We start from the raw sequence: 13,689 nt of genomic DNA, 5'->3' as shown, positions 1-13,689 counted from the left end.
GCAACAAGGTCCCTCCCTGTGGGCCTGGAATGTGCTGTGGCAGCGGAAGGAGCTTGGCTGCATTCTTGGTGGTGTAAATGAGTAACTATAATGTGCTCCCAGTGGCTTGGAGTTAGTGCAGCCTCACGTCCTGCTCTCCTCATGTGCTCCTCACAACCATGCTCTTGTCATGGTTACTGTATTAACAGTGTTCTGGTTTGGAAGATAAATGATACGTTCTCCCTACTTACAGCTTACAAGGCCCCTGTCACCTCATTGTGCCCAGGTGATGGGAGAGGATGTACCCGTCTCTTGGACATGTTTCCTGCACGTTGGGCCCATCTCAGGAGGGTCAGGAGGTCGTGCCTCAGGATGGAAGGCTGAAGGGCAGTGTTGCTAGAGATGAACGTGCCTCCAAGGCTGGCTTCGGCCTTTGGGGGATTGCCTGGTAGAGAGCTTGTGCAGATTCACTTGCCATCTCTGGGACCAGTGTGTGGAAATAACAAGGACACAGAGCTCTTTTCAGCCCAAGGAAGAGTTGTCTGCTAGTGACACCTGGCCTTCAGCTACAGAGGTAGCCCTGTGGTGTAGTGTTTAAGAAGAGGGGCTGTCAGGGTGAACAGGTGGTTCCTGTGTTGAGTGGCAGGTTCAACCAATTGTTCAGAGCTTCCTGCAGGCAGTAAAGTTTTATTCCCTCAGGTTGAAGGGGCAGAGACATCTGGACTTCTGACTTCCTTCCCAGCATTTGATCCTAAAAGAGAAGACAAATCAGCATATATTGCTGCCCCCACCGCTTGGGGGTGGGGAGAGTGTGCCAGGCCGGCACAGTAGGTTCTAGGATGCAGAGGTGTTTATTTGTTCTCAGAGCATGACCTGCAAAGACAAGCATACGTGGGAATATGTTCCTGACCTGGGCCAGGTGGAGTGGGAGGGAGATGTTTTGAAGTGAGAACCTTCAGAATGTGCACTTGGTGTGGAGCAAGGAAGAGGAAGGCATGAAGGAGGGATGTGTTACCAGATAGGAGGATGGACAGATGCCCTCAGAAGTACTGCTGGCTCTGTAAAGCCTGCCAGGCCTGGTGCTTGGAGTCCCTTCCTCCAGGGAGAGCCCTTTGCTGATTCTATACAAACAGGTTTGTGTGTACCTCTGGGGAGCTGGCCGGGAGAGGGAGGTTGCCGAGCCTAACCTGAGGCTCCCAGTCTACTCCCCTGCCGCTCTTGTCCCTGCAGTTCTGACTGCCAGCCAGGTTGCTGAAAGACTGCAAGGGTGAGTGCAGGCCAGGTTAGGGCTGAGGGGGCAGAGTTAAGCGTAGTGCTTTTAATGTTGATGGGACTCTCTTCCTTCAGACCACTGTGGCCTATTGTCATAAAGGGGGCTGGGGAGAGAAGCAGCTCAGAGTGCTCTAGCCCTGTTCCTGGGGGCCCGGGTCCTGTAGACAGGGTTGGGCTGGGTGTGGTATGGATGCACTAATGGCAAGTGGGCTGAGGTCAGGCTCTTGACCTGGTGGTGGTGTATGTTGCTTCTCACTCCCCTTGGTCCCCACAGCAGGCATGTGTGCCTTGGCCTGGGGCTTGTCTGGAATGAAGGGAGAAAGGGCATCTGCTGGGGTTGAGGCTCTGGGCCCACGATTCTTCCTCTTTTGGTATCTTCACCATGTCCATAGAAGCAGGGTAGTAGTGGAAGCCCAGGTGGGGTGGGAACAGGTGGGAATTTTTACCTCCCTCTCCCTCCATCTTTAGGTGGAGGGGATGAGACTGAGAATTTACCTTTGGATGGGGAGTTATTGTAAGGGGAAAAATAGGGTCAGGAGACTCTCGGGAAACTGATTCTTACGAGAAATCCCTGGGTTTGGGACCTGTGAGGCTGACCTCCCTTCTCCCAGAACCATCTTTGGAGCTACCTGTGCCTCTGTTTAGTTGGACTCCTTCCTGTGGTCCGCCCCTGGTGGTAGCTGCCGAGCTGACCTGCCTCAGTCCACCTCTGTGTGGGTCTGCCCTCTTTGGGCCCTGGGTTCCTGGGAGAATCCGGGCAAGCTCCAGACAGCTCATGCTCTTTCCACAGGTGCCCTTCCTACCCCAAGCCACACTCCTTATGGGCTGGCTGGCCAAAGCCCGGCTTCTGCCCCTTCAGGACTCACTGTCTACATTTCCTGTGCAAGAAGCTGGTTGGCTTGAAAAGTCGGATGTGTAGGGGTTTCCCCAGGATATTTCCACCTGGACAGGCAGGAGCCAAGGAACAGGGGTCCTGGAAGCTTAGAGCCAGGCCTGGGAGACCAGCCATGAGGAGGGAGACTGCTTAGAAGGCAGAGGGTGAGGCCACCGAGGTCTGCCTCTGACGGTGGCTCAGTGGCAAGGCAGCCATTTTTTCTGGCCTTCTGTCTGGGTCCTAGGGAAGTGAGAAGCTCTAGTTTGAGAGCACGCCCCTGCCCGCATCTCTGGAGTCGGCCTCACTCTGTGGATAAGCACCAGTGCAGGGGGCGTTTCCCCCAGAAAGGACCCTGTCCTGGACAGATGAAGGCCAGAACCTGTTCTCCAGTGTCCTAAGAGCACCTGCCCTGTCCCCGTCCCCAGAGTCCCTGAGAAGCCCCTGGTGACATCCAGAGTTGCTGCTGCTGTCACACTGCCAGCCTTGGCAGACAAAGGCTGGACCATCAGGGCACCTTTTGGTTGACGTTCTCCACAGGTGGCTTATATTCCTTAGCCAGTTAGGCTGCCCCTCAAAGAAACAAGACACCTTGTCACACCCAATGACAGCCCGTCATTACTTCTGCTTCTGCAAGGGATCAATAGAACCCAGGCTGTTTCAAGTGTCAGAATTCTAGGTGCCCTGCTAGGTCCTATAAGTTCTGGTTTTGTCCAGCCAGATACCTAGGCCTGGCCTTTCTCTGGTCTCTTTATCCCCCCATGCCAGCTGGTGTTTTCTTTGCTTTTAGTCCTAAAAGGGGCCAGGCTTAGTGGCTCATGTTTGTAATCCCAGAACTTTGGGAGGCCAGGTGGGCAGATCACGAGGCCAGGAGTTCGAGACCAGCCTGGCCAACATGGTGAAACCTCATCTCTCCTAAAAATACAAAAATTATTCAGGTGTGGTGGCACACACTGAGGCACAAGAATGGCTTGAGCCTGGGAGGCAGAAGTTGCAGTGAGCCAAGATCGCGCCACTGCACTCCAGCCTGGGCAAGAGACTCTATCTCAAAAAAAAAAAAAAAAAAAGGGATGTAAGGCGCTTTCAGATTAGTTTTCCCAGATGTAAATTCCTTGTTGAGTAGAACCTTAGAAGCTTCAGCATGGGATAGAGGAAAGAACACTTGGTTAGGTTTGGATCGGATCCTGCCTATCAGATGAGATGATTTCTCTCTGGGGTTGGAGTGAGCATTAAAATAGCTTTGCCTGGCATATTTCTCCTTGGGAGGCACTTGATAATGTTACATGTTGGGGTCTTCCCTCTGTACCCTGGCCCAAGTAGGTAAATCCAGCCTATGTGTGTGTTATGGCCCCTGGTCCCGAAGCAGGGGGTGGGGCGTGGGACTCAGGGGCCTTTCCAGTCTTGGCATTAACCAGGAGGCTCACGGTTTTGTCTCCCTCCACAGCCTGGACGTGTCTCCTCAGGTAGAATCTGACCCAGCTGCTCTTCCTCACCACCTCCCCTGCTCCCCCTGGGCTCCGGCCCCTCCCACTCCTGCTCCCACTGCTGCTCCCATGCTAAGCACTAACCTTTTTGCAGCCGCCTCCCCCGCTGCTGCCACTGCTGCCGCTGCCGCCACCACCGCCGCCCCTGAAGCCACCCCACCTGGATTATTGGGTCTTACCAACCCGTTCCTCACCTCTTTGCAGAGCAACCCCTTCTTCGAGGAGCTCATAGCCGACATAGCACTAAACTCTCCTTCACCTGCTCCCTCTCTCCCCAGTGCCTCGAGGGCCAGCCCCACCCCCCTGGCCTCCCCTGGGAAAGCCCTGCCTGAGTGGGACAACACCTTCAACGTCTTTGCTGCCAGCAGGCTGCGTCCAGAGGCCAGGAGCGAGATCCTGGCCCCTGCAGGAGTGGGGCTGGAGGCGGCAGGGCTGCAAGACCCAGGCCCTGGGGCCATGACTGCGAAGGCAGCTGAGCCCCAGGGAGAGCCTGGGGGAGGAGGAGGAGGAGGAGGAGGAGGAGGAGGAAGAGGTGGGAGCAGCGTGTGGCTGGAGCCCAGGGTTCCTCTGGACTTGGGACCGAACCACCAGAGCGCGAGCGCGGCTGACCCAGGGCTCCTCGGGTCGGTAGGGGCTGGCCTGCCCTCCTCGTCAGCCCAGCTACAGCTGAGAGCCTCAGGCTCAGAACCAGACAGGGAACTGCCAGCCCCGGAAGTGGAAGCAGGGCAGAGTCCGGCAGACAGTGGGACATCTCTATTTAGCTCCCCAGAAGTGATCAGTGTGTGGGAGAGGCTGCCGGGCCCAGAGAGCGCTGCTGAGGGCCAGGACGATGAGTCCTCCCGAGGCGAAAATCAGCTTTGCCCTGACGTCGAGACAGCTGATGATGCCTGGCCTTGGGATGTGGTCACCATTTCTCCTGCAGCTGAGACAGCCTCACTAGTCTTTCGGGGAGAGTCTGATGAGCCTGCTCCCCAGGTGCAGCCTGAATCACCAGAAACTGTGAGCCCCAAGGGGAGCGAGGGGCTTCCCCCACCGGAGCCCGAGCCTAAACCCGAGTGGGTGTCTGACAAGGGGCTGCAGCCCAGCACCCCACCTCCCAAGCCACCGCGCCTCTTCACACCCTCAAGATCCCAGGAGGAGGAGGAGGAGAAGGCCGCAGTGGGGCTGAGTAACAGGGGGCCGGAGACAGAGGGAGAAGATGCCTCCCCAAGTGCACTGGTTGTCGGTCCCCCGGAGACCAAGGAGGAGGGAGAGAAGCGTGAGTCGGAGGAGTCTGACAGCTGCTCCTCTGCAACCCTGCTGGGCCAGCCTGGCCTGGAAGAGCTAGTGGAGGATGCCAGCCCCCCTGTGTCTGGGCCCTGCCTGTCTGCACCCGCCAGCTGCCCTGAGGGTCCTGCCCCCATACCCTGTCACTCAAAGAGCTTGGCTCTTCAGAGTCAGCACATCTGGGGGACTCCAGAGGTTGGAGAAGGCCCTGAGGCTCCTGAGGCCCAGGGCCAGGATCCAGTAGGAGAGGGGCTTGGGTCCTTGTCAGCCACCTCCCAGCAGGCTGATGTGTGGGTCTCCAAGGAAGATGCCTTGAACCCCTTCTTGTTTCAGGGGAGCCGAGATCCTCCCAGCCTCTCATCTGCATCCCCGCCAGGGTCGAGGGAATCTTCTATTCATTCTGGTCCAGAAGAGCTGCCCACTCCCCCAGAGCCTGACTTTCCACCGCCCCCTCTCCCGCCTTGGGCCAGCCACCACCGTGGGGGGCCCAGCCCTCCATGCTCTCCCCTGTCTGAAGCCTGGCCCCTGACTACCTCCTCTGCACCACCAGGGGAGCCAGCCTTACTCCCTGGCCCCCATGAGCCCTCCCCACCTGGGGGCTCCCCTGCCCTACTTAGGGAGGACCTCGCTGCAGCCACCCCAGCCTCCCCGCTTGTGCTTCTGCCCTTGGAGACACGACCAGCTGAGGAGCCACAGCCCAGTGCCAGGTGAGCATCCACCCCCAGAACACTGTCCAGGAGGAAGGGGGTGGACAGGGGGCAGAACAGCCCAAGGGACTGAGGGGTTCACACTCCAGTCTCATCCTTTGTGGGGCAGGTGAGGGTCTCTTTTACCCCAGAGGCAAGACGGTACAGGCTTTGAAGACAGGAGCTTTCTATGGTACCACCTCTGAAGCTGCTGTCTTGGGACTTGGGATAATCAAGGCAGCCCCCCACAAGCCAGGGGTTTGGAGAACAGCACTGATGAGGTGCAGGGTATAAGGAATGAAGTGGGGAGAGCCGATGTGGGCTGGCAGGGAAGGAGAGCAGTGCTGTAGGCCCTTCTGGAGTGTGTGCACTCAGCCGCAGGGGAGCTGTGGGTGGGGGGCGGTGGAACTTGTCAATCAGGGGGTAGTTCTTGGGGCAGACCGTGGCAGAGCAGGCTGGCAGTGGAGCCTTGAGCAGTTTCCTATTCTGCTAGAGTGAGGGTGCAGGCTGGGGAAGGCAGAGAGCCAGAGGAGGGACCAGCACTTAGGTCAGAGAGAAAGCTGCAGACACCTTCAGAAGAAAAAGGAAAACTCAAACACTTCCCACATATGTAACTCTCAGAAGAAAGGTTCCCCACGCGCAGCAGTTGCTTCATTGGTTTGCGTTTGGTGCCTTTTAAGGGGTGGTTCTGATGCACTTAGGACCGCTGAGTGGACAGCGGATGCCTGTGTGACTGTGCTCACTGTGGCATTGGGAGGTTTGGAAGAATTATGAAGCTGTGACCTCACCAGGTGGCTGGTCAGGGGTGATGTGGGCAGAGGCCTGGAGACTCAGGGCACTGGGAGGTGATGGGGTGTGACTTAGAAGGCAGCAAGTCCCTCTGGGACGATAGCGCTCTAGGAGGACCGAGTGAAGGGAGGGGAGAGCAGGGCAGGCTCCAGCACTGGCCTCCCGACCAGGCATTCATGTTTGGTCATCCACATTCACTGAGCACCTACTATGTGTCAGATGCTGAACAGATGAAAGACACTGTCTCCACTCTGTTCCCAAGGAATGTCCAATCCACTGGGGAAGATAAAGTGGACCCAAGAAGGGAAGAAACCCCAAGGGGCCAGAACTACATATGGGAAGTGGGTGGGAGGGAGTCCAGGCTGCCCCCAGTGTCCCTCCCTGGTGGTGGTGGTGACTCTCCTCCCTTGAGGTGAGGGAGAGGATGTGGGGGAGCTGGTGGTTGCAGTGTCCTCGGCTGGCCCTGCTGTCTGCCAGCATGACCTCTAATAATACTTGCCACTTTTTATAAGTTTTATTCGTCCCAGAGTTGGCTTCATGTCTGTACTGGGCTTGTTCCTTCTGTTATGAAGTGGACGGGCCAAATAGAGCTGTCTCATTCCTCAAAGGAAGAAATAGAGCCCATGAGAGGCGCAGGGTTTAGGATCCCAGATCCCTCTGATGTAAGGGGGCAAACAAGCCAAGGCCTCCTGGCCCCTCATTCAAGGCACTTTTATACTACACTGGTCATCCTCCCCTTCCCTGGCACAGCCCGCAGGTGGCATTAGAGCTGCTTTTATACCCCATCCCTAGCACAGGCTCCTAGGTGTCAGGAAAGGACTGAGATGCATTCTTTCTCCATACTGTCTGCCCAGAGCATGGGTGCTCTGCCACTCTTCCCGATTTGTGAGAATGAATGCATGGATCTAGCCTGAGAGTCTCTGGGTCTGGGTGACCCTTCCTTCAGTGGAGTTCAGGGCCTTGGACTAAGCCATTTTGCTTTCTACTCCTGAATGGTCTAAATCCTCTGTGAAGTAAGCATAGATTTGTAAGAGGTCCCCCTGGGCAGGATAGTTAATGTGGGAGCCTGATGCAGTTTATGTTATAGTTTATGTACCTGTCACAGGGTGCTGGAGGATCCCAGAGAAGGGTCATCTTAGCCTGGAGGAATCAGGAAGGCTTCCTGGAGAAGGTGGCTTTGCACAACTGTGAAACATGAGTAGGAATTAGTGAGCCAACGGGAGGAAGGGGCAATGTTGTTCCAGACAGAAGAATAGCTTTTGTAAGATCTTGGTAAGAATGTGGCTTTGGGAGTAGTGGACCATGAAGAAAGGGCAGGGACCAGATTGTGTTAGAGATTGTATTTTCTTACCTTGATAGAAGCCATTAAAGGATTCTCAAGCTTTGAGAATGCTGAGATCATTATCCTGCAGCAGCATGGTTGGAGGTGGGCAAGACTGAGATGGAGGAGCTGATTTAGTGGCTGTGACTAGAAGGAAGGTTTAAGCATTGGCCTGGAGAGGAGTGGGGTGGCTTGAGAAGGTAGGAAGGTGGCAGTGCTTGATTGTTAAGGCCGAGGCTGAAGAGGATGAGCCAGAGGACCTCCTAGGCTTCTGACTTTCTGACCTGAGCCAGTGGGGGCCAGAGGTGCTCCTCACTGCTAGGGCAGCACAGAGGAGGTGTGGCGGGGAGTGGGATGCACCTGAGGGGTAACCCAGGGAGCAGCAAGCCAGTCTGCACCTGACTCTGCAGGTCTAGAGTCCAGGCAGTGAGCTCTGGGTTAGAGATGGAGATTAGGAGAGTGGTAGGATGCAGGGAGGAGGAGAGGAGAGAACCCAAGGGCAGACTAGCAGTTGTTAAGACTGAGAAGGGGCTGTGGGGTCAGAAGACGAAATGGAGGTCTTGAAGGGAAAGGGAGGCAAGCAGCCCAAAGGAAGGAGTGCTTCAAGTGTCGGCTCCACAGAGGTCAGTGAGGTGAGAACCAGCAGGGCTTGGTGACCTCAACAAGTCCACTTGTGGTGGGCCGGTAGAGACCGACGTCCTGTTCTAATGGGTTAAGGAGTCAATGAAAGGTAAGAAATTATACAAATGTAGTCTCCATGCTGCTGCGGAGAGGCTTGGGTGAGAAGAAAGGGGAAGGTGACTAGGAATGATAGCTGGAGCAAATATAAGGTCAAGGGAGGGTTTTTCAGGGCTATGTAAATGCTGATGGGAAGCAACCCCTAGAGAGAGCTGGTTGACCAAGTGTCCCAGTTTGCCCAGGTTTTAGCACTCAAAGTCTCATGTCCTGGGAATCCTCACAGTCCTGGGAAAACTGGGAACTTGGGAGGGTTGGTCACCGCACTAGAGAAAGGTTACAGTATAGAAGAGAAAGGAGGGAAGATGGCTGGGGGAGGGTGTCCCTGACAGAGGGTGGGTGCAGGTGCACAGGAGTCTGTAGCATGGCCTTTGCTGTCCCTGTGAAAGGGTCAGTTCACCCGGTGAATGAGGGAGTGAAATGGGGAGGGAGCAGGTGGTGGGGTGGGAATTGAGGCCAGCCCAGGGGGTTGCTGAGGAGTACTGGACACCGCTGCCCTGAAACCTTGACTCTGTAGGGGCAGCTACCACCCAGTGCTGGGCTTTCTGTCCAGCAGACCTGGAGGCTCCACAGGGAAGGCAGCCCCACCTTTGACCCGTGCCACCCTTCTCTCTGTGTAACCCATCTCTTGTATGTCTTTGCAGTCCCCACCCCGTGAAGCCCCTCAGTGCCGCCCCTGTGGAGGGCAGCCCCGACAGGAAGCAGTCCCGCTCCAGTCTGAGCATAGCCCTGAGCAGTGGGCTGGAGAAGCTCAAAACAGTCACATCTGGGAGCATTCAGCCTGTGACCCAGGCCCCCCAGGCTGGCCAGATGGTGGACACCAAAAGGCTGAAGGTAAGGCCCAGCAGGGTGTGGGGGCCATCTGACAGAATGTGTGGTGGAGTCTCAGGGCTTGGTCCTGGTGAGGGTGGGGCAGGGAGCAGGCCAGGTCCCCCATATCAGAGTCCTGAAGCCAGTTAGGCTCTGACTTTGGAGACAGGCAGCCTGGGGCCCTGTGGTGGTGAAACTTAGGTGTTGGTGGGCAGGCGGGCGGGCGGGCAAGCGGGCAGGCAGGCAGGCAGGCCTAGGGCTGCCCTGCTCACTGTCTTCGGTCCGGCCTCAGGACTCAGCTGTGCTGGACCAGTCGGCCAAGTACTACCACCTGACCCACGATGAGCTCATCAGCCTGCTCCTGCAGCGGGAGCGGGAGCTGAGCCAGCGGGACGAGCATGTGCAGGAGCTGGAGAGCTACATCGACCGGCTGCTGGTGCGGATCATGGAGACCTCACCCACGCTGCTGCAGATCCCCCCGGGCCCCCCCAAATAGCCTTCCTCACCCTACCCCCAGGAGGGTTGGCATGGACCTATTGCTGCCTGCCCTCTCTCCTCCTGAACTCTCTCATCTGCAGTGGGGCATCGTCTGTCTTGCCTTGTCACTCCTTGCTCCTCTCCCTCCTGCCTCAACTGGGGCTGCTGGAAGGGGGCCCTCTGGATTCCCTTTGGAGGCATCAGGTTCTGTGCACAACTTGTGTGTCTTTGGGAGCCCTGGGTCTTTCCCACCTGCCTGTTTTCATATCCCTCAGCTTTGGGGGCCCCAGGGAATTGGAACTCTTCCCCCAAGACAGAGCAGGGGTGAACTGTAGCTTGATGCAGTAATCTGGGACAAGACTGGTTGCTAGCACATACTTTATTATCCCCCAAGGATGGTCAGCCATTTCTTCCCACAGCCAAAGCCCCATCCCCTTCATTTCCCTCCAGTCCCTGGAGGGGCTTCTAGTATTACTGGGACAATGACCACGCTGCCTGTTTGTCTGTGAGTTACGGGCAACCAGCCTCTTCAGCCTCACACCCATTCCCCTGAGAGCAAGAAGCCTGTGTGGTCTGGGCCAGTCTCTGCCATGTCCTGAGTCTGCTTCAGTCTGGAGCTGTTTGTGGGGCGAGTGCCATGTGGACAGTGGTGGATGATGTGTGTGCTTCAGGCTGCTCCCTGACCCCTCTGACCTTTCCACGAGTGTCACATGGGAATGTGTGGGGCGCAGGGGCGGGTGCGGAGAGAGCACCTTTTTGCTTTTCGAGCTCTTGACCACCTCCAATGTGTAGGTCCCTCCAGGCTGGGGCTTGGGACTGCTTATGATTTGGGGATCAAGCCTCCATGTCTATTCTTGTTGCCTGTCCAGATGCCAAAACTCTGTGTTGCTGCAGGGTTTGAACTTTTGGAAACCAATTAAAATGTGCCTTTGGTGGGCGGGGTCAAGAGCCCCTGGATGTCGACCTCTCCCGCTGTGTGGCGTCCCCCTCCCACCTGTTGAATACATAGGGATGGCTCTCTCAGGGCCCTGGGAATGGGAATGGACAGCACTGCTGTGGGCTGTTCCCCTCCCCTAAAGTTAATCTCTTGGTCTGGCCAAGTTGCTGCTCCCTCAACCTTCCTGCTGTCTTCCCCTCCCTCAACCCCAATAGGAGGATCCCAGGATAAACACTGCTGGGCAGGCGGGCAGGCAGGCCTGGGGCTGCCCTGCTCACTCTCATTGTCTGGCCTCAGGACTTAGCCATACTAGACCAGTCAGCTTGCCTGGAAGAGGGAGGTCCCACTATGCCTTTGGGAGACACCTATACTTAGGAAAAAGCCTTTGTTGTCCTCCCATCCATCCATTAAGCTGCTATCTCAGCCTGTCCCTTCTGCCCCAGGGGCTTGCCTGGCTTGGCTGCAGTGCACTTTGAAATGAAGTATCTGTCCTTTGGCCCAGCCCCTGGTTTGCTTGTAGAAAACATGGTAGGCTTCCCCAAGGCATCTGCAGGGAACTTTGGCAGCTTGGGGCACCCTGAATTAGCAAAAATGGGGGGTGATGAGGTGCTGAAGAAGGATACTTAACAGCTTAGTGAGGAGGCAAGAGCTCCTCTGGGACCACCACTTCTTCAGGAGAGGGCCTGTGGGCTTGCTTTTGGAAGGCCTCAGGCAGACACGTGCCCTCTGGGTGATGTCTGTCTGCTGCCAGGATGGAGCAGAGGAGCGCCACACATGGAGGAAAGCCCCTGTAACGTTACCTACCTTAAACTCCACTCATCAAATCTGAGAAAAGTATCCACTGGTCCCCAGGGTTTCAGTCATGCTTTTGGGGGTCATTGGGTATTAGAGAAGTAAGTATCTTTTCTGAGAGAGGGGGAGTCACCCCCCCTACTGGGGATTCCTCTGGGCTTTATTCACTCCCAGCCCTGGCCCTGACCTTTGTGGGCCTCCCTAATGCCCAGGGCATGGATGGCTTCAGAGGAGTTTTTGAATCGAAGCCCAGGGTCCTTGTTGATGTTTCTTCTCCTAGCCACACTTGGAGGAAAGTTGCAGGTGGGTTGGGCAGGGAGCAGGCATGGTTCTGCTTTGCTGTTTGTCTTCCTAGTTAAGGCTCTTTATAAAGAGCTTGTTCTTCATGTTTTAAGCACTTTATGAAGAATAAAACATTCATGTACTGCAGGTGGCTCTGTTGTGTTCCTGTTTTGGAATGAACAGTTACAGGAGGCTGCTGTGGGAGAAAGCACCTTAAATCAAGGTGATGGGATTCTTGGATGACACTGTCCCTGCCCCTTATAAGGGGGCAGCAGCACAGTGTTGCCCAGCAGCCTGAACTTAGTCTTTTCTGACTCCCAGGGTACCCACATTTATTGCGCACCTAAGATGGGCCCATTTATTGGTAATACAGAGGGTAAGAAATGGATTCCTATTCTCAAGTTGCATGGTCTAGCAGGGGAAGATAAGATACAAATCCAAGATACAAATAGTTCTTCATGGCTAGATAGAATCTCTAAGATAAGATACAAATCCAAGATACAAATTGTTCTTCGTGGCTAGCTAGAATCTCCCCCTAGCTTTATGAAAAGTGTTTCTTGTGGTTCAACTACTAGAGGATGAAAAACTTTGACTGCTACAGCTCATGTAGTGTCCAGAAACACTGGCAGACATGAGCCAACCCTGCACTCCACCACGAGACTAATGAGACCCAAAGTGGAGTTCCCTAGAAGACCAAATATTTCTACTGTCATCTTGGGCAAAACAGGCAGCTCCCGAAGTCTGGCTCACTGACCAGGTAATTCAGCTGGGAATCTTCAGCTAATCCATTCTACAACTGTATGTGTTTATTATCCATACTGATCCTTACTCCACAATCTGTAATACTCCCCCTTACCTAACACCCTCCCCACCCACCCTAGTCCCAAGTTCTCCTCCTGCCCAGGAATTAGGCCCAGGAGGGATCTTCCTTGGTTGGCCAGACAAGGTGAAAGCTGCCAGGGCTCTTAATCCCCCACTGATGAACTCACAGCCAACACTTATTTGAGTCTCTACTGTGAGCCCTTTTATGTCTGGCTCTGAAAACTGAAGTGAATCAAAAAGTCATAGCCCCTGCCCTGTGAACTTTACAGTAAGAAAGACTGTCCAGAACAGTAAGTAGTTGTGAGTGCAAAAGAGAAGTGCTGGGTGCCACGGAGCCTCTGTGGGATTTTGTGCAAGCAGAGTGATGGACTGGGAAATGCAATGTTTAGGCTAAAGCCAGAAAGCCAGCATCAGGCGAAGATTTAGTCTTCCGGGTACAGAATGTTCAGGGGTCGGGAGGCGGGCAGGCCCCAGCATGCTCCAGGAACTGAGTGTCAGGGCAGCCGGAGAGCACAGGACGAGTGGGCAGGGTGGCGACGGAGGAAAGTACGAGAAGGTCCGCAGTGCAACTCCTTGGAGAAAGCCTTCCGAGGTTAACCCTACTCCGCCTGGAGTCTTTGCCCATCTGGTCCCAGGTTCCCCCTTGAATGGGACCCTTCTGCGCTGCCTGGCCCCAGGAGCGACGCCCACGGCAGCAACTCTAACTTCTGGGGGCAACTAAGCAGCGAGGGGTGGCCCGTGGTCGTCGTACAGGAACACCTTTCCTGGACTGCCGACCTTGCACCTTGCAACGCGGACAGCGGGCACCGAGACCTCTCCGGACGGCCGCAACTCTCCGCAGTCTACGGTTGTAAGCGCCGCGACGCGAAAAACTACACTCCCCACAACGCCTTGCGCCTCCCGCTCGCTGCGGTTGATTAGGGCCAATCGGGAGAGGCAGCTGTGGCGGGGGCCGAGGAGGGACATTTTAAAAGGGCCGGAGATTGCGGGCGTCAGTGGCCATGGCGGATACAGCGACTACAGCATCGGCGGCGGCGGCTAGTGCCGCTAGCGCCTCGAGCGATGCACCTCCTTTCCAACTGGGCAAACCCCGCTTCCAGCAGGTGAGGACCGGGCTGTGGTCTGCGGGCCGGCGGGTGGCAAAGAGAGGACGAGCAAACTCCCCT

General features: G+C 55.9%; 2 protein-coding genes across 13 annotated transcripts in view, besides 4 other annotated features; both read left to right on the top strand.

The window, feature by feature from the left end:
- RAB11FIP5 (RAB11 family interacting protein 5) overlaps nt 1-11,848 on the top strand; it is a 39,567-nt gene extending 27,719 nt beyond the window's left edge. Inside the window, exons 4-6 of one of the 2 annotated variants that reach the window (NM_001371272.1) lie at nt 3,567-5,579; nt 9,048-9,237; nt 9,506-11,848. In NM_001371272.1, coding sequence (NP_001358201.1) covers nt 3,567-5,579; nt 9,048-9,237; nt 9,506-9,709 — 2,407 coding nt within the window. In that variant the 3' untranslated portion in view covers nt 9,710-11,848. The remainder of the gene's footprint in view (nt 1-3,566; nt 5,580-9,047; nt 9,238-9,505) is intronic. The other variant, NM_015470.3, reaches the window with a different exon arrangement.
- Nucleotides 555-849: an enhancer, noted in NCBI's record as "tiled region #6541; K562 Activating non-DNase unmatched - State 15:Elon". NCBI's record gives its function as "activates a minimal TATA promoter and a strong SV40 promoter by Sharpr-MPRA in K562 cells {active_cell/tissue: K562}" and the evidence as "EXISTENCE:reporter gene assay evidence [ECO:0000049][PMID:27701403]".
- Nucleotides 4,998-5,596: an enhancer, noted in NCBI's record as "H3K4me1 hESC enhancer chr2:73306762-73307360 (GRCh37/hg19 assembly coordinates)". NCBI's record gives its function as "activates a minimal SCP1, AML or CMV promoter by ChIP-STARR-seq in primed H9 embryonic stem cells {active_cell/tissue: H9 hESC(primed)}" and the evidence as "EXISTENCE:reporter gene assay evidence [ECO:0000049][PMID:30033119]".
- Nucleotides 12,920-13,399: an enhancer, noted in NCBI's record as "active region_16024". NCBI's record gives its function as "activates an Ori minimal core promoter by ATAC-STARR-seq in GM12878 lymphoblastoid cells {active_cell/tissue: GM12878}" and the evidence as "EXISTENCE:reporter gene assay evidence [ECO:0000049][PMID:35858748]".
- Nucleotides 13,518-13,689, top strand: part of SFXN5 (sideroflexin 5) — a 129,677-nt gene continuing 129,505 nt past the window's right edge. For all 11 annotated transcript variants that reach the window (NM_001371739.1, NM_001371738.1, NM_001371743.1 and 8 more), the window contains exon 1: nt 13,518-13,626. In NM_001371739.1, coding sequence (NP_001358668.1) covers nt 13,525-13,626 — 102 coding nt within the window. In that variant the 5' untranslated portion in view covers nt 13,518-13,524. The remainder of the gene's footprint in view (nt 13,627-13,689) is intronic.
- Nucleotides 13,600-13,649: an enhancer, noted in NCBI's record as "active region_16023". NCBI's record gives its function as "activates an Ori minimal core promoter by ATAC-STARR-seq in GM12878 lymphoblastoid cells {active_cell/tissue: GM12878}" and the evidence as "EXISTENCE:reporter gene assay evidence [ECO:0000049][PMID:35858748]".

Source organism: Homo sapiens, chromosome 2, assembly GCF_000001405.40.
Source record: "Homo sapiens chromosome 2, GRCh38.p14 Primary Assembly".
Taxonomy (NCBI): Eukaryota; Metazoa; Chordata; class Mammalia; order Primates; family Hominidae; genus Homo; species Homo sapiens.
The sequence above is the reverse complement of the archived record's forward strand: the minus strand, read 5'-3'. Positions and strand labels throughout refer to the sequence as shown.